This window comes from Homo sapiens, chromosome 20 (genome assembly GCF_000001405.40).
Source record: "Homo sapiens chromosome 20, GRCh38.p14 Primary Assembly".
Lineage (NCBI taxonomy): Eukaryota > Metazoa > Chordata > Mammalia > Primates > Hominidae > Homo > Homo sapiens.
In genome coordinates this window covers 42,049,637-42,072,507 of record NC_000020.11, presented here as the reverse complement: position 1 = coordinate 42,072,507, position 22,871 = coordinate 42,049,637, and the positions used below count along the sequence as shown (strand labels likewise).

Here is a 22,871-nt window from a genome sequence, read left to right as displayed (position 1 = left end):
ATAGAGCAGTGGCATGAGAATCACTGGGAACTTTGTTAAACATACAGATTCCTAAGCCCAGAGAATCACAATTTCAGGGTCTGCCTTGGTAACGAGCTGCCTAAATGTATCAGCTAGCTATGGCTGCATAATAAACAACCCAAAACTCAGTAACTTGAAAGAAAAATATTTGATAGCAGCCAGCTAAGACTCTCTGATCTAAGCTGAGCTCAGCTAATCTCAGCTAGGCTCATTCATGTGTTGGCTAAGGGCTCTATTCTAGGCAAGGCTTGGCTGGGGCACATGAGCTGTTACAGCCTTGCGCCTTATTTTTTCATCCTCCTCCTGGGACCAACAAGGTAGCCTGTGCATATGCTCCTCATGATAATAGCAGGAGCATGAGAGAGAGAAAGTCCAATCACATATATATTTTGCTAGGCCTTTGCTTGAATCATATCTGCAACATCCCCTTGGACAGAGCTAGTTACATGGAATACTCAGAATCAAGGGGCAGGGATTCTACTTCTTGACATAGACCCCTCCTCTCAATTTTCCAGTAAATGCTGAAGTTGGCCAGGCATGGTGGCTTACACCTGTTATCTCAGCACTTTGGAAGACCAAAGTGGGAGATCACTTAGGCCCAGGAGTTCAAGACCAGCCTGGGCAACATAATGAGACCTTATCTCCACAAAAAGTTCAAACAAATTAGCCAGGCATGGTGGCACACACCTGTAGTCCCAGTTACTCAGGAGGCTGAGGTGAGTGGATTGCCTGAGCCTAGGAAGTTGAGGCTGCAGCAAGCTGAGACTGCGCCACTGCAGTCCACCCTGGGCAACAGAGTGATATCCTGTCTCAAAAATAAAATAAAATAAAATAAAATAAAACACTGCTGAGCTTAGGTATGAAACCAGTGGTTCCTGATGCACCCGTTAACTCTCTAATCTCAGAGTGCAATCCATGGGTCACCTACACCATTACACCAGGGAAACTTCTCAACGTGTAGAGCCTGATTCAATAGGTCCAGGATAGGAGCTAGGATTCTATATGTTCAGCAAGTGCCCCAGGTGATTATAATACATGCTAAAATTAGGCAAGCACTGTTTTTAATGCTGTTGTTATTAGAGGGGAACAGATATGAGCCCAAAAGGAACTGGGACAAACCAGTACTCAAACTGGGACATGAGGCTGCCAACCTCTCAGTTGGATGCATATGTCCTCTATTTTCTTCTGGATGAGCAGAAGAAATAACTAGAACCTGACTCCTTGGAGTTTACTAGTTCCCAAGTTCTTTGTATGTGTCCAGATATAAGCCTGAGCTGGAAACACAAGCCGCAGGGGTGGAGCGCAGGGTTCACCTTGTTCTCTTGCAGTCTTGGGAACCCTGGCAGGGTTCTTCTGCCTGAGGAACCTAGATACATGGCTCACTAGGCCTCCCAGGCCACAGAGTCTAGAGAACATGTGATTCCCAGCTTGGGTATGACATGGGGAACCTGGTGTCCAGCCGGCTAGTTATCTTGTCACTTTGTCCTTGGTCATGTTAATCTCACGTAGTCTGCCTGCTACATTTATGCTTTGGCCACAAATGTAATACGACACTGGAGAAAGAAAATTAGAAAGAAGGAAAAAAATCTCACATAACTCCCACTTTAAAAAAAAATATTTGGGGGCATATCATCTTTCCCCAAAATGGAAATTGCTTTTAAAGTGTTATGATAAAAGTAGCACATACTCACTTGAAAGGACTCAATATAAAATTATTTAAGGCAAAAGGTGAAAGTTCCCACTTCTCAAAGGTACCTGTTAACATTTTTATGCCATTCCAGACCTTTCTATGCATAAACATATTCTACGTAAGTGGCATCAACCAGTATATACTCTGAGACCTGCTTCTTCTCACTTAACAGCATACAGTTGTCATATTTCCATGGAAATATGCTTAAATATCTCTTATCTTCCTTGACACCTCCATAGTACCCCTGAACTTGAAGCTAAGCTATTTTGGGTGCTTCAAGTCTTGGGTTCTCACAGTGATGCTAAGGATCAACGTTAGCAGAGAGGGACATCCCACCCTATGTGCTGCCGTCCTGGAGAGAGACTGATGATACTGGCACAGCTCTCTTTATGTGTCTGTTGGCTGTCCAGGTGGATCCTAGCCTGGCCTTCCTGTGTGGCTAGACCTGGAGTGTGAGCGCATGTCAGACCTAGGAGCACCTTGATTGGTAGCTCTGGTTTGACTTAAGATCTTTCTTTAATTCCAAAGGCTCAAGCCTTCCATCAGAACTCCAGGGAACCTAGAAGCCCTCAGATTCCTGGAGACAAGGGATGAGGTCAACAACATACCATGCAGAAGGCAAGAAGAGGGATTTGATTCCCTCTGACAGGGTTTGGGGGTGGCAAGGAGAAAAGAACAGGAATAGAAGCAGAAGCAGCTGGTGAGATAAGAGAAAGAAACCACTCTAGTTAATTTCAGAAAACTTTTGACCACTTAATCTTTAGGATATGCAACGAGACTCAACAAAGGCTTGGCCTGAGTGGCTTTCTCTTGAAATTTAATGACAGGACTGAGCCTGGACTCATCATTGACATTCAGTAGAGACATGGCACCCACAGGGAGATGATACTCACAAACTGAACAACTGGAGACAGAGAAAAGCATGGGATTATAACCCCCTGGAAATTAACATAAACTGAGGAGGTCATCAGTTCTCCCACTCTATTGAATAGGCATTGGAACAAAATTTAACTAGTTATTCAAGGACATTTGGAATACATGAATAGATAGAGACATATACAGAGAATTACAGATGCATAGAGAAAATAAATTGAATATATAAATGTATGAAAAACAACATCAGTATATTAACAGTGGTTATCTTTCATCATAGGGAACACAAGTAATTTTTGTTCTTTATAATTTTCTACATTTTATAAATGTTATATTACTTTAATACCCGGAAAGGCCAATTATATAAAAAGAAGAGGTGAGAAGAACATAGGAAAATCCAGGCAGAACAGATAAGATGATGCCAGGAACAGGGTCATACCCCAAGACCTGCCATATACCTGGATCAAGAGGTTTGAAAATGTGGCACTGCCCATCTCCCACAAAAGGGGAACACAGTCAGTTAGTCAATGTCCAAAAGGGAAAAAAAAATCTCTTGCTCAGAATAACTAAAAAACATTCCTGCTATAGAGCCTAGAAGAAATTTTTTTCATGAGTCCCCTTAATAAATAATGGCTTCAACAACATCCTTCGCTGACACAATGGATTCCCCTCCCTGAAGACTCATGGCCTCATGCCATAGAACAATTCAGTGAAAGCTCTTCACTGAAGGACCAAAATGAAGGGGCCCAGCTACATGGTTCTCTGCAAGTCAGACCTAAGCCAGATGTAGGGTTTCAGAATCTTTAGTATTATATAAACAAGTTTTCTCTCCTCTCTGAGTGTCCATGAGCTGGAGGCTTTTAGCCCAGAACCAGTGAAATAGCTATTCTGAGTTGTTGATTGAATTTGGAGTCCGAGTTTAAGAGCCAGCTGAGCCAGAAAGAGAATTAGTATCTCCTTTTGAATGATGAAGAGCCTAACAGATACATGTGCTGAGATAGAAGATGAATCTGTTTCTCTATTAAGGCGAGGCATGGCAGGGCCAAGAAGTAAACCCCTGCTCCGGGTTATAATGAGGACTGACTCCATCCCATCCCACTTTCCTTTAAAATCCCTACAAATATGTAGTCAAAGCTGGAAACATGGGACCACACCTGGCGGCCAAGCTATTGTGTGAATCCGGGAGGAATTTCCTCTGATTACAAGACACAAGAAGCTGAAATGAGAATCGTAATCAGTGGTTGATGCTGAATCATGTTTTGCTGCCTAAAAGATGCAAAGAAGCCTCAGAGAAGATAAAGTGGCTCATCCCGCCCAGGTGCCTGCTCCAGATGGTCTGTACTCACTCAGAAAATTGGTCAATCGTCCATTTCTATCTCCTGGGAGATGAAATGACATTAAGAAAAACTTGTATGGGCAGGAAAACAGCAGAGAGAATCTTGAAGAAATGTATGCTGAGGATTTTGGCTTTCAAATCCATTTGAAGCACCCCAGAGAGAGGAAGGGAGTGGTAAGAGCACCTTGTTGGCATACAAAACTGGGTAAAACAGATGCCTCTTGTGTACCACTTCAAATATTCTCAGCCTAACCGCTTATGTCATCCACGGCCATGGGAACAATTTCCAAGCATGCTTCTTCAGATTTCATATATGGGAAGTCCATGGTGCCTTTCCTCAGACAGGCTCTGCAGCTCTTGTTTCCTGTGCCACAATTTCTGGTACTATTCTCTGAGATGCCCACAGGAACCCACTTAGCACTTGTGAGTGTGCTACCCAGAAATGCAGGGAAGTTAACAATGAAATCTTTGACTGATAGGGGCCTGGAGGCTGTGAACAAATGCTTCCTCCTCTCTTTCCTCTGAAGGCAGTTCTTAAGTGTATTTCATGCGACTTTTCAAATGGTCCCAGAACAAGCAGACCCTGTAAGAGTAGCCAACTCTATAACACACCTTGTAATACCTCTTTCTCGTTCCTTCCCTGACTTACAACTCCTATTCTCATTGCTTCCTGGAATCATATTTCCAAAAAAAATTTCGTTTAAGGTTTTGCTTTCAGGGGAACACTAGCTGGGAAACTGGGCTTCAGCTATGCACAATAGCCTATCATCCAGCTGTTAATCTGAAATGGGATTCTGCCAACACCCATAGAGGGCCGCCAGATGTCCAACCAGGCTTTTGATCTAGGGATAAAAAATGGACTTGATGTAAAGTGATTCATGGGAGAAGTTCTACTCATGTCCTAAGCTCATCCTATGTGTCAAGATATTAATTTCCTGCTCAGGTTTGGGAACAGGAGTCCTGCCATCTCATATTTTTGTTGAAAATACTTGGTGAGCCTACCCAATAGACAGTAAGAAGGATGGTAAGGGGTCCTGTTTTACTAAAATCCCACTGAGAGCCCTAGCATAGGGTGCAAGAGCAAGAGGGTGGTTGACCAGTGGGGTGGAGAGTATGTGGATCTGGGATCCATGCATGCAGAGTAAGCAGCTTGCAGCAATGCTTACGCCCAGCCTATCCTTGGCAGAACATGGCTCCTGACAAACCATGTAGGCAGCTAGCTCCTAATGGAGAAAATTGTGACAGGAAAACAGATGGGGGCGTGCGTTCCAGCCAACACTAAATGCCGATACAAACCTCTCCCAGGGTTGATGAAGCTCCTTGTACTAGCTCCCCGTACCAGCTCTGCCTAAGCTCTCTGCCCTCACAGGCTGTCAAATTTCTGGCCTGCTAAAGAAAAATAACAGCACATCTCAACTATCCCTTCCCTTTTCTGGCCCCTCCATGATGCTCTCTGGCAGCCCAGACCCCAACTCTGAGCAAGCTCACACCTTCGCTTGTAAGGGTGAACAAACAGGAAAACATCACCAGACACATGAAAAGATGCAGGAGTTCAAAAGCAGAGGTTCACTTTGAGGAATGAGAGAATGTGCCTGCCTGTGAAATCAGGTCTCTGCCAAAAAAAAGAAAGACATTTTACAATGAATCTCCACAGATGCAGAAAAACACTAGATTTTCTAAACACAAGAAATTTTTTGTTGTTGTATCCAACAAAACAAATTGCTGAGAAGTCTAATCGAGAGAAAACACAAATAACCAAAATTAGGAGACAGAAAGGGGATATAATAGTGAATATAGAAATTATACATAATTATAAAAGGATATCATCAACAATCATGGCTAGTAAATTTTAAAATCTTGATGATGTATATTATCAAAATTGGCTCAAGAAATAGAAAACCCAAGTTGACCTGCTATCAGAGAAGAAAGTTTTGTTAAGTTGTTGACTCATCTCTGAAAGATACAAGAGCAGGTAGTTTCATGAGTGAGCTGGATCGAACTTTCAAATTAAAAAATAGTTATTATGCAGTATGTACTATTCCAAAACAATGCAAATAAAAGAAAGCTTAATTCATATTATGAATATTATGAAGAAATTGCACAGATACCAAATTTGACAGAATACACACCAAAAAAACCCCTACAACCTCTAAACCAGCCACATAAATGTGAAGATTTTTACTAAATTTTAATGATTACATTAAAATCATTAATGACCCCCATAGTCTTTTAAAAAGTAATATACCAGCCAGGCGCAGTGGCTCATGCCTGTAATCCCAGCACTTTGGGAGGCTGAGGCGGGCAGATCACCTGAGGTCAGGAGTTCGAGACCAGCCTGGTCAACATGGTGAAACCCTGTCTCTATTAAAAATACAAAAAAAATCAGCCGTCATGGTGGCACGTGCCTGTAATCCCAGCTACTCAGGAGGCTGAGGCAGGAGAATCGTTTGAACCCGGGAGGCAGAGGTTACAGTGAGCCAAGATCACACCATTGCACTCCAGCCTGGGCAACAAGAGTGAAACTCTGTCTCAAAAAAAAAAAAAAAAAAAGTAATATACTAAGTCCAAGTAGCCTATATGCCAAGAATTCAAAAATACTTCAATATGAGGAAGCCTAACAGTAAAAAGAAAGACATATAATCATCTTAATACTTAAAAAACATTTGACAAAATTTAATATCAATTCCTGATGAAATATGATGGCCTCAATAAGCTATTAATTGTAGGATACTTTGTTAGCATAAGAAGTTAAAATAATTAGTGGTAGATATTACTAGAGTTCACCAGTATCCACTTCTCCACTCCTTCTTGGCATAAAGGAAGATTACACCGCTCACCCTCCTTGTAATTAGCTGGAGTCATGTGACAAGTCTTGACCAATAAGCATAAGCAGAACTGATAATGTATCAGTTTTATACCAAAGTATTTAATGACTGTTGAGAGACTCTCTAGCATTTTCTTTCCTTGAGTCATCTATCAAGGAGGTCCTGCATTGTAGATGGTGCAGCCATAGGGATGGGGGAGATTCCCTCAGCCTGGATCACTGAATCACCACACGGAGTATAGTTACTCTTGGGAGTTACTGGACTCCCAGAACGTTGTGTGTATGAGAAATAAACCATTGTGGTTCTTAGCCACTAAGCTTTGAGAGTTATTACTACAAAATGCATGATATCAGCAGCAAGCATATTAAATAACAGAGAAAATCTAAGTGTATTTCTAGTAAAGTCATGGATGTCTACATCCTTGCTGTAATTTAGTATTTTTGGATGATGCCAATGCAGCTAGCAATATTAATCAATAGCTAAGAGATCATTGTTACAGTTACCGTTGCTGTGTGACCAATTATCCCAAAGCAAGTATATTTTATTTTTTCATAATTTTGTGGGTCAGGAATTCTGAAAGGGTTCAGTCTGGCAGCTCTTGAGAAGGGTCTTTCATGTGGTTACAGATGTCAGGACTACAGACATCTTTAAGCCTTGACTGGGCTGGATGTCCAGGACGACTCACATGTATGGCTGCTGTTGATGCTGGCTGTTGGCTGGGAGACTCAGTGGAGCTGTCAATTAAAGTGCCTTCATGTGGCCTCTTCAGCACAGACAGCCCAGAGTAGTCAGACTAATTACATAGCCCATATCTTCACCCACAGTGAGTGTCCCAAGAGATCCTGGTGAAACCTAAGTAACCTTTTCCCACCTGACCTTTGAAGTTACATCTCATCACTTGTTAGATTCTACAGGTTACAAAGGATTCACTGAGGTCAGCAGTGATTCAAGAGAAGAGGACATAGACTTGTTCTTTTTATAAAAGCAGTATTAAAGATTTTCATAAATGTTTTAAGACCACCACAATTACTTTTATAAATGAAGGCCCAAAGTTAATTCAATCTTTGGTATATGTCTAGTAATGCCAAAAACTATTAAGACTGATAAGAAAATTCAATAAAGGCACAGGTTATAAAATAAGTATGCAAAATAAATAAATAGCTTCTCTATTCATACTTGTAGAATAAACTAATGAATTCATTCATTAGTATAGTATCAATTATATATTAGAAAACATAATGGAAAAGAAAAATTACACTCACAATAGCAGCACAAAATACAGGAAGCCCAGGAATGGACTTAAGAAATGTGCAGGACCCACATAAAGAAAGCTATAGAACTCTATCTTGAGACCTAAAAGATGACAGGAATAAACTAAGAGATTCAGTAGACAGTCACAATCACTATAGTTAACATGCCAATTCTACCGTAAACTAAAAGAATAAGTTTAATGCCGCTTCAATCAAAATCAATATGAGTCTTTTAGTAAGTAACTGGAAAAAACAATTTTAAAGTTAATATGAAAAACATAAACATACAAGAATAACCAAACAATTTTCAAGAGTGCTACAATAATTAACACCACATAGTACCAATGAAGGAATGCATTCTGATCAATTCTTTGAGATTCCTTGTCACACCAGATATTGGGAAGACAAGTCTCCTATTTGTCAATATACAGTTTGGATAAAGCCGGTTTGATATTATCTAGTATCCCCTGATCAAAGCAAAAGAAAATGACAGGGAAAACTCCTCTCTTACAAATCACCAAAGCAAAGTTTTTTCAATTCAGTGCGTTTTATTACATCCAGTATATACATTGTCAATGTTTAAGAACTGAAGTGTTCATATTATTCATTTGCTTAATTTTTTAATTACACAAATGATACAAAAATACATTCTTCTCATAAAATAATCAGAATTTTACCAATAAAGTTGGGCTCCCATTGGCCACCATCCCCAATCCCAGCCACTTCCCCAAGAGAAATTGGGAAATCTTTGGTCTGTTTTACTACTCCTGGTCTTCTCACCTCTCCAGACAATCATGAGGGCAGACAGGCTCCAGGGCACTCCTCTAAGTATTAAAAACAAGGTTAACAAATGCTTTACCTGATTAAGAATATGCAACTAGAGGACGGAAGTAAGCAGAGAAGAACCAATTTTAATATAATTTCCTATGTTGGTCCCTGGACTGGAATGATGAGTAAAGCTTCCCTCCGATTCCTGCTACATTCCACCAGTCAGTTCCAGCAAGGTCTGTGCAAAATAAGAAGCTGGGTGAGAAATTTTCCTCGGAGGTGAATCCATCTGTCTCTGAGAGTGGCCTTGGAGAGCAATCAGCCATCACTAATCACCCCCAGCAGGGCCTCAAGGGACACCCAGACAGCTTGGCATCCAGTTCCCCAGAGATAAGTAATGCTGCTTTGGGGTTGTGGAACAAGTGCAAGCTAAAAGATCCTCAGAGAGGTACCATATGTCCAAACAGACTGTGGGTGCCTTCGGAGGGGAAACGTGCTAAGACAGCTCATGTCCTGCTTGACAGAACCAGAAAGACAAAATGCCCTCGTCACAAAAACCAAAGACAATCACATGGTATACACTCTAACAAAAAGGAAGATGTTGGCCAATTTTTCTTTACCTATGCCACCGGAAAAGTAACAGATCTGAAACTAGGAATATGACTAAAATCCAGGTCTCTTGAAACGCAAAAATTGTTAACTACTTTTTAATCCAATACATCATGGCTTATGCCTTTATAACCCCAAACAGACAAGAACAAAATAAATGTGCTGTCTCTGAGGAGCATCCTCCAGGATGCTGGCTGAACCTGAAGAAGTGAGCCGTCTTACCTGTAAAAGTCATAGCTCCCTGAGACACAGGCAGCATAGCTCAGCTCAGCTGGTCTGCGGCTATGCATTTCTTTCCAGTTTTTGAAGCAGGACAAGGAGATTTTAGGTTTTCAGGACTGGAGTGAGGTGTACTGGAGAATCAACCAAAGAGAGAAAATTCCCAGAAACAGTGGTATAGGCCAAAGGCTAGGGAAGGGCCCATGAGTGCAGGCCTGCCTGCAGGGAAAAAAAGGGGGCAGAGGCCTCCATCTGGGGCCCAGCAAGAAATCAGGCCATTTGTGGAATAAGGGCTTGAGACATTTTATGTGGGAAAAAAAATCCCCAGAGGCCACAGGAGGGGGATTAAATGTGCATGATGTTGGGAATACTGTCATTATGGCTCCAACTCTGAAAGCGGATAAAACCCCTCTGCAGAGACATCCCTCTACACATCCTGCCAAAGTGCCCCAGAACGGCATCTTTCAACCTTTAGAGAGACAGACCTAGAGCAGAGAATGGCAGCCCTGATTCTTCCTGATGCCCCAGTGGCTTTTCCAAGAGAACTCTAGGCCTCTACTCTACAGGGGAAGAAGGCTCCCTTCTTTTCCGATTTTAGAATTCTCAGCCAGCTCACATTGCTTTACATGTCTGACAAATGCGGTTGATCTCCCAGCTGACTCTATTCCAAAGTCACAGTACACCCCTCTTTGCAGGCCTTCTGCTTAATGCTGCCCATAAAGGAAAGGGAGTTAGGAGCCTATTACACAAGCAATCTTCTTAAGGCCTGCCGAAGTGGAATGTGAGTAACTCAGGAAGAACAATCCTGGGGGCTGGATAGTGTACCCTACCTGCGGATACCTGTAGGGGATATCAACATCATCTGACCCTTCACCTGCGCTGGGCCAGGGCACCTCCCTGATGGGACCTCTGTTAGCCAGCCCCCTGGGTTGAGGCTTTCTGCTGGCGTGGTTTGTTCATCACAAAAGGTAAAATTAACATGCATCAGAAACTGATGTCACTCTCAGGATTTTTTAAAATGCAGTTTTTTGCATCAGGCCTGCAGAAAATGTCTGTGGCAACACCTTCCCAACCACGCAAGCGTGCAATTCCAGGTGGGGAAGCATAGCCCTGGGAGGCTGAACCATGAACCCCAGAAGCATCCCAGGGTGAGATTTTTGAAAGAACTAGAAGGTTCATCCAAGGAAACTCGAGAGTGGCTGCAGAGACAGCTGGGTGGCAGGAACAGTGGCCTAGAGATGTCCCAGATGTTGATAGGGTTTCCCACTCCTGCTGTCCCAGTCAAACGACTTTTTATGAGGTTGTTACAAAGACAAAGCAAAATTAATGAAAAACATAAAAGAATAAGAAGTGATAAAAATTTTAAATTGAGACTCAAGTAAAAAGTAATAAACAGCAATAAAATGCAAGACTCCAGTAACAGGATTAAACTATCAACACATTAAAAAATGAGGCTTCTTAAAATCATATTTATCTTATTTAACAAATACTTATATACACTGGCAGAGCTAGTGGTGTTCACCAACTAGTCCATGAGCTTCTCTGCACTGCGCGGGCTCATTCTAATAATATTGGGCCCATGTGACTAATTCTGGCCAACAGACTCTGAGGGGAGATGACACACAACACTCTCAGACTTTTAAGAAACTCTGAAAATCACGGTAAGATGCTTCACAAGATGAAGGACATGTGGATCACCGAGTTCCACATGAGGCCCCTGGAAGGTTACCTGACCCCCATCAGACACAGCCCAGATGACGAATAAACCTTTATAGATGAAGCCACTGAGATGTGAAGGTTTACTTGTCACTACCGCATATCTTGACTAATACAAATGCTTATAATTCACTAATTTAATCCTTCTTACAACACTATGATATAGGTTCCATTATTATCCCCATTTGAAATCTGGGGAAACTGAAGCATGAAGAAGCTAAGGAACTTTATTCAGATCACATAGTTGTTAAGTGGCAAACCTGGAATCCAAATCCAGGCAGTCTGTGTTCCTAACCATTATCACATGCTGGTTCTCACAAATAAAGCACCTTAAAGTAAAATGCAAGGAACTTCAAAGGCATGTACCTTCTTCTACAGAAGATTTGGGGATGTTGAAACAGGGTAGGGTTACAGAGTGTATTCGTCTCTTTTCATGCTGCTGATAAAGACATACCTGAGACTGGGCAACTTACAAAAGAAAGTTCCACATGGAACTTACAGGTCCACATGGCTGAGGAAACCTCACAATCATGGCTGAAGGCAAGGAGGAACAAGTCATGTCTTACATGGATGGCAGCAGGCAGAGAGAGAAAACTTGTGCAGGGGAACTCCTCTTTTTAAAACCATCAGATCTTGTAAGACTTATTCACTGTCACAAGAACAGCACAGGAAAGACTTGCCCCCATGATTCACTTACCTCCCACCAGGTCCCTCCCACAACACCTGGGAATTCAGGAGGAGATTTGGGTGGGGACACAGCCAAACCATATCAGAGAGTGAGGAGTCAGGCAGCTGTGGAGAGGCAAGGCAAGCATTAATCCTTTCCCCCTCATCCCAGTAGGACAAAGCCACTAATCCTGTGTGATAAAATAAAGGGGGCTTGGATCTGTGAAGGTCAAGTTTAAGCTCTTGCCTTTCAGATTTGGCCTCCTCTTTTTGATATCCAGTCCAATGTTGTATAAAGACCCTAACACCCAGGAATGAGGAAACCTGAATTCTAGCTCTGGGTCTACTAGTAACAAGTTGTATGACTTGGACAATTGTCTAAGGTCTCTTTGGGCCCTTTAGATGAATGTACTCCATCCAAAATTTGGTGATAATAACTTCTATCTCATCAGGTTGTAGAAAGTGCCAAGCCAAACAAGACTGTAAAGATGCTTTGGGAAGCTGCAAAGTGCTTTGCAAGTGTAAATTATTATTTTTATTTGACTATTAGAATTAAGGAGACAAGAAGGGCCCTGGGAGATTCCAACTCCCCCCTGCTCCATTTTATGTATGGGAAAACCAAAGTCTCCATGACTTTCCCAAGAATAAAAAGGATTACTTGAGTTATGGATATTACCTTATACAATAATGATAAAAACAAAACATGAGTAAGAACCAGGGACTAGGACCCCAGCCTCGAGCTTCTCGGGAATGACTTTTCTCATAGTTACAGTTTGAAAATGCTTAATTACTTCCTTTGTGTACCCCAGACTGCACCTGCCCAGCCAAGGCAACAGAGAGAAGAGGCAGTAAAGTGGTCAGGAGACTTTGAACCAGAGACACCTAAGCTCAGATCTGACCCTGTGGCCATCACTGGGTGTCATTTTTCTCATCTTCTCCTTATTGCTTCTGAAACTATTACATCCAATCATAAAAAACACTGCCTTTTTTATAGGTCAAAAATGGCAGATATCACAATTTCATATGATTCAACATAATCAAATATAGTACTGCATGGCAGGTATCTCCATTTCTCTTCATTGTTGAGCCGCCTTCTTGCATCTCATCCACCTTTTCCCTTAGGCAGAACATTTCCTATGAGGTCCCTCAGTCTGCATGCAAAGAGGCCCCTGCTGGCAGCCCTCCAGACATGCTTACACATACCAATATGGTCAGGCCACAGGCCCTCTTGCTGAGCACTTTCTATCTTCCCTTTATGTTATTTCATCCACACACGGCCCTGTGAGGAAGGCAGAGCAGGGGCAGTCTGTGTAGTCTAAAGGGCAAGACAGGAGACCCGGACTCTGCCACTGTCTTGCTGTGTGGCCTGGGGCAACATCATCTCCCTCTCTGACCCTCAGAGTCCTCGCCCAGAAATAAGGCTATTGGATGAGATCAGCAGCTCCCACTTCTCACTCTGCAGCAAAAGCACTGGAAAGCTTTTGGCAAATTCAGATACCTAGGCCCCCTCTAGAGATGCATTTTTATTAGGTCTGGGGATCTTTTAACCCCTCCCCAGGTGATTCTAGTGTGTAGCCTCCTTGAAAACCACTTGGCTGGATGATCCAAAGGCCCCTTGATTCTAAAATGTACTGAAGAGTAGGTCAATCCTTGTGAGCTTTTGGGGCTGAGAAAAACAAAGAGGCAGGAGCTCCTAGAAATGGGTCTGAGGCCTCATTAGGCCTTGTTTGGGAGCAGGTCTGCAGAGCCCCAGTTTCCAGCCTCCTGCAGTTAGAAGGATGCCTGGGCTCTATCAGGGCCCAGCTGGAAAGGCCATTCGTTTGGAGAAAGATTTCCTCTAGGTGCCTCTCAGAAGCCTCCTTCACTGATTCAGGGAACTAAGTCTTTTCATTTTAATTAGCAAATTCTTGTCGCTGCCTTTGGAAATGAGCCTCTGTTCTCATTTTCTTCATAGACTCTCCTCAGCTGAGATGGTGAAGGAGGGGCTGGAAAGGTGACAAGGGAGCTGTTATCTGGAATAATTTGTGAGCCGGTGAGGGGCTTGGAGAATATGAGAGTGGCTGAGATTACAAGGAACCAAATCATACACTTAAGGAAATGGCTTCATGGCTTTGGGACAAGGTGACTCCAGTTAGTGCCTCTTTGCAAAACTGCATGCACTGGTGTGATGAGGAAGATAAGGTGCTATTAAGCCCACCTGGGCTCCAGGGACCCAGTGAATAGATGTGTCACATCTTGAACTAAGAGAACCTTTATATGAGGAAAAAGCACACTTTTAACAAAATACCTGCAGATGAAGAGAAATGGAAGATGGTATTTGTCTAATGCATAATGTATAAGTCTGTGAACTCTCAGAGCTGGGAATAGTGCTCTCATTGGTCATCTCATTAGTACCTGATGCACTGGAGAGAAACAGCCTTCCTAGGGTGTCTTAGGCCACAGGAAGCCCCTGTCTCAGGTATTCAGGAGGAAGGAGAGGCTGTTCGTGTGACTCCATTTCCAACATTATATCTTGTTTTGACATGCAATGTAAACAGCACACTTTCTGGAATCATCCTTAGCATCTCTTCTATGACTTTCCCTAATTGTTTGATGTTTCCAAAATGGAGAGAAATATTTATCTTAATGAGGGCTATAAAAAAGTAAGGACAGGCTGGGCGTGTCTTATAGGCTTATGCCTATAATCCCAGCACAGGGGGAGGCCAAGGTGGGAGGATCACTTGGGCCCAGGAGTTTGAGATCAGCCTGGGCAACATAGCAAGACCCAATCTCTACAGAAATTTTCCAGGTGTGAGGTGTTTATCTGTAGTCCTAGCTACTCAGCAGGCTAGGGTGGGAGGATCCCTTGAACCCAGGAGTTCAAGGCTGCAGTGAGCTATAATTGCACCACTACATTCCAGCCTGGGTGACAGAGCAAGACCCTGTTTCTAAAAAAAAAGATAAGAACAATTAGAAACATTCTTAAACAATTAGCCAGACTAGTAAAAGGACCACAAGGAAAGATTATTTGCAAATGTCTTAGAGTTCATCTAATCAAACCTCTCAGAAGGAAAAGAAGATGGGGAAGATATAGGCCAGGGTCAACAGTATGGCTCACAAACCCAACAGGATGTGGTCTCCCTTCTCACAATCCGTTCCCTGCTGTACCCTTCAAACCCTGTGATCCAGCCACACTGAGCTATTTGTACCCCGCCCCCCGCCAATAACATGTATCATCCTGTCTCTAGACCTCACGCCCACCAGGCTCCTCTACCAGAATACTTGCTGGTTCCAGGTCCTTCCCACTCCCCTCCTTCTTTCTTTAGGTAGACAGGCACCTAGCTAAGTAGGACAGTGTTCCAAGACTCAGCCCACTGTTCCAGTAATTATTGAATATCCATATATGGTAAACAAAACCTTCATGGATGGGCCTGTCTTCATGATGTGCGGGAGGCAGATATACAATACAATGACTGCACAATTGCATGTATAATCATTCCAGAAATAAGTGCTTGGAAGGTGAGAGCTACAGAGCTAGAAGAGTGTATGAGAAGTTGGCCTGATGGGACATGTCTGGGAAAGCTTCCCAGAGGAAGGGATGATTGCGCTGGGATCTCAGTAACCGAAGGAAGTCAAGAATGGATGGGGAGGGTCCATTTGGAAGTCCAAAGAGACCTCCTCCAAGAAGTCTTCTGCTCTTTCCTGTGTTAGGCATTACTTCAGGTGACCATATTTCTTAGTTTGCCTAAGACAGCCCCAGATTATGCTTATTGTTCAGGGTTTAGCCTTTGTCCCAAAGATGTACCAATTTGGATGATAAATTGTATCATCATGCTATGAGTGATGCTCTTATCACACTTCATCGTTTTATTCATACACCTGTCTGCCTGCCACACAAAGGCAAGTGTGTACACACAGGCACACACACATACACCATGTGCACTCATATCCACACAGGGATGCACAGCATTCTTGCAGCATCAAATTCTGTTCTTATTCATCCTTTGCTGCCCTGCACATAACACGGTACTGGCATATGCATAAAGAAGATATTTGGTGAATGGTTTTTGAATAAGTGAATAAAGGATGCAGGGATACAGCCTCCAAAGATGCTTAGACCTCCCAAGCCCTCCATCTCACCTATCTATTTTTCATGCCTCCACAATGCTCCAAAGCATATTTGGTGCATATTTTGAGTTTGTCCAAGGGCCAAAAGATCCAAATATATATATTTTTCCACAGCCTGACTTGGCCCTATAAGTTGACAAAAGTGTCACCTCATTAGAGGCTATTTGAATAGAAATTATAGGCTTGTTCTCTGAGTGTGGATTTGAGAGCACTTCATAAGACAAATACTGCTAAATATCTGAAAAGAAACACCCTTATTGGCTTCTAAAAGCCCATCTCAGGTCAAACTAATCTAAATTCCTCTCAATACAATTAGAACTTCAATAAGAATGAGAAAAACAACAAGATTCCAAGAACACCAGGACCTCAGAGGAACGATAAATAGCATTATTGGAGGACTAAGAGGGGACAGCGGAGGGTGGAACATTCTGGAAGGCAGCATGATGCATGTGGTGCACAAACCTACCCACGCTTTGATCAGGAGTGATCAGCTAACCTCCCTACAAGAGAACAAAGGAGTCGACCCCCATCAGCTGGCCTCCCCAGAAATTACACTCCTACTCTTCTACCCTTTCTGGTTCCACTGAGGATCAAGAACAGGCACCTGTTCCAGACCAGTTGGAGTTTCCAGGCCTGCACAAATGCAGCTCCTCCTGTTCTGAACCTTGCTTTTTTCTTTCTGCACCTCTTCCTATTCCTCCAGGATGCCTTTCTATTCCTCTCATTCCCCCCATGGTCCTCCCTTTGTCTAAGTCCTGGCACCATCTCCCCAGGGAAGACAAGAGGAAATAAGAGTGTGTCAGTGTAGGCTGCACAGGACCCCTCCACCCCATAGTTTACAGAAATGGTACCCTGCCTCTACCTCCCCAACCACATCCCTTGCCCCCAGAGCTCAAGCATTCAAATCTTTTTTGTTTGCTCTTAGAAAAACAAATACTGCTGGCCTGGCTGCTCTTGCAGCTCTGCCCCCTCTCTCCATTCTTGCCTCCTCCCCTAGACTCTGAGAATCTTGAAACCTAGACCCGAATTGAGTCTCCGTAATATCCATGTTAGTCAGCAAAAGATTAAGTCATCAAAAGAATGCATGAGTTTGAAACAAGAATGGAAAGAGGTGATAAACCAGGTTCTTGATCCAACCTGAAGGAGAACGTATCACAAAAACTGGGGGAAAACTTTCCAAAGATTTAAGAAATGCCTTTTTATTTGCTTCATAAAAAAATAAAAGGTGACCAGAAGATGGTGATGCTGGAGGCTCACCTGTACCGCCACGTTAAGCACACCTGCTCACTGGAATACTCCCGAAAAGCAATGTACCTTGTGTTGGGAAGAACTTTTTTTTTTATTATACTTTAAGTTTTAGGGTACATGTGCACATTGTGCAGGTTAGTTACATATGTATACATGTGCCATGCTGGTGCGCTGCACCCACTAACTCGTCGTCTAGAGAACTTCTTTAAAACGATTCCTTTTCTACAGTGTATATCTCTAAGTGGCCTCAGTAGGGGGTCAGAGGAGGCGGGTCATGGAGAGACAGACTCACCTTTTATCCAGGTGACAGCTGTCAGCCAGTCTATGCCCCTTGCTGCCCAGAGTCCACAAGAAGGATGTTATGGCCACTGCCTTAGAGGGCACCTATTCGGCATATCAGTTGAGTGAGCCCTGACACTGGTAGAGAGCTGAGTAGACCTTCTATGAATGGCCTGGAATCCCAAAGAGAGAGAAGGAATGTGGGTGGAACTGGGGAGCTGGAATGGAAGGTAGGGAAGAGGTGATGGAATAGGCCAACCTTCTTCTAACTCCCTTGCTGCCTTAGACCCTACAAGGGGCCCCCTCATACCTCTACCCAAGCACACCTCTACCACAGACACCAACAGAGAAATGCAGGATTCCAGAGAGCACAATTCAAAGACAGTTAACCAGAGTAATCCCTGGGGGCCCCTCCATCTCTGACATTCTGTGAGTTTAACCTTCAGCTAAAATCATTGGCACAGTTAGGCAGTGGCTTAGCAATTCCTTTTTATGAAATTACTGTCTCTCTAAAGTGCAAAATATCTACTTAGAAGCTTGGATTCATTCTTAAGATGAGTTGATGTTTGGACTCTCACCCAAAACAATATAACCAGTTCCTTAAAAACAGTCTACCTCCCTCCACCCTCACCCCAGTGAGTGGAGAACACTGTAATGAGAATGTGAGAAGATACTCTGGACTCCTCCTAAACCTTATCCCCACCTTGCTCAAGATAGTAGGGCCTTGTTGCCTGGCAATGGACCATCAGGACTAAGATTCATGTTGGGCCATGAGAAACATCACCCAAGATGTCCCATACTCAAGGCCTCTCTGTGGCAATTCCAGCCAATATAATTATTCTCAGGAATGGACCTGGATGTTCTAGTGACCTTCACTATGTTTCTTGACCAGAGACTGATCCCTGACATCAGACCCCAGACTGACTACAGACTCAGCCCAGATTCCTGCCCCAAACTGACCCCCAAATCTGATGAAAGATAGACCCCTCTTCCTCTCCAGCACCTTCGTACATCACCGTATGAATCACAGTAAAGTAAGACAATGATGTCTGATTTAGCTCTATTTCCCAAATACCAGAACAGGAGCTGGCTCCAAATAGGTGCTAAATAAATGCTAACCGAATATGCAAAGAAAAAAATTAAGTGAATGAATAAGTAAATGGGTTCAAGTTGCAAATGACTAAGTCTGGTCTTCTACTAATAGGTGGATTTTTCAGAGACATGTGGCCCAGGAGGTGGGTTTGTTTGCAAGACGTCCATCTCTCATGTCCACTCCAGCAGCTCCAAGCTCTCCTCCATGCATCTTGTTAATATTCCTGTCACTGGGCTTAACTGTGCAGTGGCCAGCATCTCCTGAGCTAAATAACAGGCAATTTAAAACTAATGAGGTGAGAAATGCCCTCGTTGTCTGAGTCCATTGAGGCCCACAGCGGAGCTTGTCACACCTCTGGCATATTCCAGGGAGGGTCCCCAGAGGTTCCCAAATATACAGTGGTATTATAGCAAGGTGGGGAAACAGAAGGCATCCTGGGCTGGGAAGAAGACCACAGTACCGCTCCAATTGTGTTGTCATTGTCCCATCAGTAAAAGGAGATGACCTGTACACTGCACTTCTGGTTTCATTTCGTAATCATCCATGATATTTACAAAAATACAGATTCATGGATCCCACCGCAGAGCCACTGAATCTGAACCTCTGGATACGGGACCCAGAAACTGGATTTTAACATGCACTCAATAAACAATTACAGCCAATATAATTATTCTCAGGTCCCAAGCTCTAATTCAGCCTTTAGCAAACTACAGTTGGAGAGCCACACCCAGCGTGCCACTTATTTTTATAAATAATAATGTATTGGAACACAGCCACATCTATTAAGTTACAAATTGTCTATGGCAGAGTTGACGCATTGCAACAGAGACCCTATGACTCGAAAAGCCTAAAATACTTACTATCTGGCTTTTTACAGAAAAAGTTAGCCAATTGCTGCTCTAATTTATGAGTTCTACAAGTAGCTGGGATGAAAGCCACCGACACGGGCCTCATCTTTTCAGGAGGGAAGAGCACTTTATTCCTGACCACTGTGTAAGAGGAAAGCAAGGGAGCTCCAGCCTGCAGGAGCCCTGGACTCACCCTAATCAGAGATTGCTTTGGAAATATAAATGGCACTGCCAGGTGGGGATGGTGGGCATCTGCAAGGTGAGCACCTGAGACTGAGGTGAGGTTGGGGCCCAACTGAGAACCCAAGCTCCTGTTCTCAACCCTACTCCTGGTGAGGTGGATACCAACGGCATACACAGAGATGAGTTCTGCTCCTTCTTTTTCAAATGTTCATGCCACTGCCCCTCTGCTGAAGGCTTACCTGATGATCTAAAAAAAATGGTATGGGAGGGGAGACAGGGAAGTATGCGGGGTGTGGGGGGGCCACTCTTCAAAGCTCCAAATGCTTCAAAACACAAACATAAGCAGGTACATAATTGAACTTGTGACATCACTGGGACCCACAGGGTGTCTGAGAGGGAAAGAGACCACCCAGACTGGCTGTGGCTGCAGCTACCTGCCTTATCAGCCACACTCTGGGGCCTGGGAAAATAGGTCTCATGTGAGTCTGCCATCTGCCCTGTGCTCAGAAGCAGGCAGGGCCCAGCAGAGTGCCCTCAGAGCACAAGGGTCTCCAGGTCTTCTGGGTCCCAGAGTGCCTTGCTGCATAGATGTGTGCCCTGGGGTGCTCCCATTGCCAGGCCTGGTCTGTCTGTGCCAAGTCTGGCTTCCACTTGTCCTTCCGTGCCCAACAGGGTATGCCACCCCAGATGTCCGGAAGCAAACTGCAGTCAGCACCGGGAGTCTAAGCAGATTTGCGTTACTTAGAAATGATTTGAAACCCACACAAACACATCAATCAGTATAATCTGTTCAGCTGGCAAATAGAGCCAGGTCTCGAGGAAATTCCAGATCAAACAGGTTCATCAGGAGCTAAACAATCTGGGAGTTTTGTCTGGAAATTGCTTGTGCCAGGAAGTTTGGAAAATGTGGACGCTCAAAAACAGAAGACACAAGGTCACTCAGACTTGAGAACAGCTGTCTGCGACGTTGCACTACTCCCAGGGATAACTGTGACTTCAGTCGGATGTATGAAGACATATTTTAATTTTTATTTGTACACATGCACCAATGATTGACGTAGATGGTGATTGAGAATATTATCTCAGTATTTAGAGGAACTTCGTCTCTTGCCTCTCTCCCCCTTGTTCCCCAAAATTAGAAGTAGTTTTACCACTGGTCCCCATGGGGGTCTGACAACCACTCTGACTGCTGGTCTCAGCCTGTCGTTCATCCCTCAGTTCACCCTCACTGGGGGACCTGCCTAGGTTTTGCAGTTGTCTGTCATCTCAATAATCCTCTGAAGGAAGTTAGGGCAATTGTTAGCTGAAGACTAGACCCTTCAAAACAAAGCAGGAGCGAACTCTCACAATTCTTTTCCCTCCTTGCCTCACTTCCCCATTTTTCTGTAGAGCTTCCTGGGGTCACCACGCAAATAAGCCATTGCACCCAATTCCTTGTCTCAGAGTTACTCCTGCAGAAACCCAACTAAGACAGTGGGAATGCATCCTCCTCTCTACCCTTCTGTCTCATAGAGACCTCCAAAGCAAATCCACTGACACACTGACACACTGCTGTTTTCAGGGCTTTGAGGAAGAATCCAGGCGATGACCACTTTTGGTCCTCTGGCCAAAGTGAGTGAAAAGCAAAGACCCAAACCGTGGGCCCAAGCCAGTCTGCTGGTCTCCATGGTGCTGCTGAAATAGGATCAGTGCATCTCTCAGCATCTTGTAAATAATCTCCAAGCCATTCCTGGGTAATACATTTACAGCAGCTACATGAGCTATCTTTCTCCCATTTAGTTCTCACCAGGTGGCACTGATGCAGAGCTTTTCTCTGCCTAGTTGAGCCAATGTTTCTCAATAGGGAGGGCTATTTTCATAAATTTGTGTTTTTGGATAACCCACAGCTCCTGGCCCTGCTTTTGACATGTCAGTAATAGCCAGTGGGTCCCTCTCAGGGGCACAGTGACTGAATCATGGGCACAGCAGCCTCAGCTGCTCCCCTCTAGGCTACCGAGTCAGCCTCCAACTTCACTCCTCACCCGCCTCCGTGATTCAGGACCTCTTCTCCTGTTCTGGTCAGTATCCCTGTGGCCGCACCTAAAAGTTTCCTTGTGGAGTTAAAGCTTCACTTCCATTCATACCTAAAAATAGACATATTCCTTCACAAGGAATATTCACCAGGCTGCTATGTGTCAGGCACTCTCTTTACTATTAGGGATACAGGAATGAGTTTCATGAGGCCAATACATGGTCCATTGTGGGAGACAGCCCGACACACAGCATGCAGGGGCTCAGTACTCACTGGAACAGAGCGGCTCAGAGCAGAGACTCAGAGCTAGATTTCCTGAGTTCAAAGCCAGGCTCTGCCCCTTACAAGCTGTGTGACCTTGGGCAAGTTACTTAATATTTCTGGCCCTCAGTTCTTAAATCTGAAAATGGGGGTATCTCTGTAAAGAACTTAAAACAGTGTCTAGGCAAGAGTATGCATTTGTAAATGCTACCAATCCTTTGGAAGAGACCAAACGCCTCAGACAAGCAGAAGGATCCCAGGAAATAGTTCTGCTTACAGGCAGGAAACTGCATCCTACGGAGACCACGAAAGGGGAGATTTCCCTCCCACTCACAAGGCACTTGCTAAGTCCAGCAATGAAAAAGGAACATCACTGAGATCCCCAAATTGGTAGTGAGAAGAAGCCAAATATCCAAGCTGTGCATGCAAGCATCCCTGGAGTTCTCCGAAATATTTGTGGAAGAGCCCTGGGAAAAATCAGAATGTCTGCTAGGTATGCTGATGGTATGCTCAGAGCCATTCCATGTGGCTGTAATGAATGAGGCTGAATATCTGCAGGATGGTGGGGGGATAGGAGGGAGCACTATATGGGGAGCATCAGCCTGAGCTCTGCTCTTGCCTCCCCTCAACTTGCAGAGGGATGCTGATCTCAGCCCCTCTTGGAGCCATCTCGGTTCTTTCCTTTCTGTATGGTGAGATCAGCCACTTTATCTCGAAGTTTCCCTTGAGCTCTGAAAGCCCAAGTGGAGAGTCTCAGAACTCAATGAGATGGGGGTGCTTCTGAAAATTGAGGATTTCTGTACCCCAGCCCCACAACAAGCTCACTGCATGGTGGTGCCTAGCAATCAGCATTTTCAGTAAGCTCCCC

General features: G+C 43.9%; 1 protein-coding gene and 1 long non-coding RNA gene across 3 annotated transcripts in view; one reads left to right on the top strand and one right to left on the bottom strand.

Annotated features, from left to right (window-relative positions):
* The window catches only part of LOC101927182 (uncharacterized), a 204,657-nt gene that overhangs the window by 35,997 nt on the left and 145,789 nt on the right, over positions 1-22,871 (bottom strand). The gene's annotated exons all lie outside the window — the stretch shown is intronic.
* PTPRT (protein tyrosine phosphatase receptor type T) overlaps positions 1-22,871 on the top strand; it is a 1,158,017-nt gene that overhangs the window by 1,117,399 nt on the left and 17,747 nt on the right. The gene's annotated exons all lie outside the window — the stretch shown is intronic.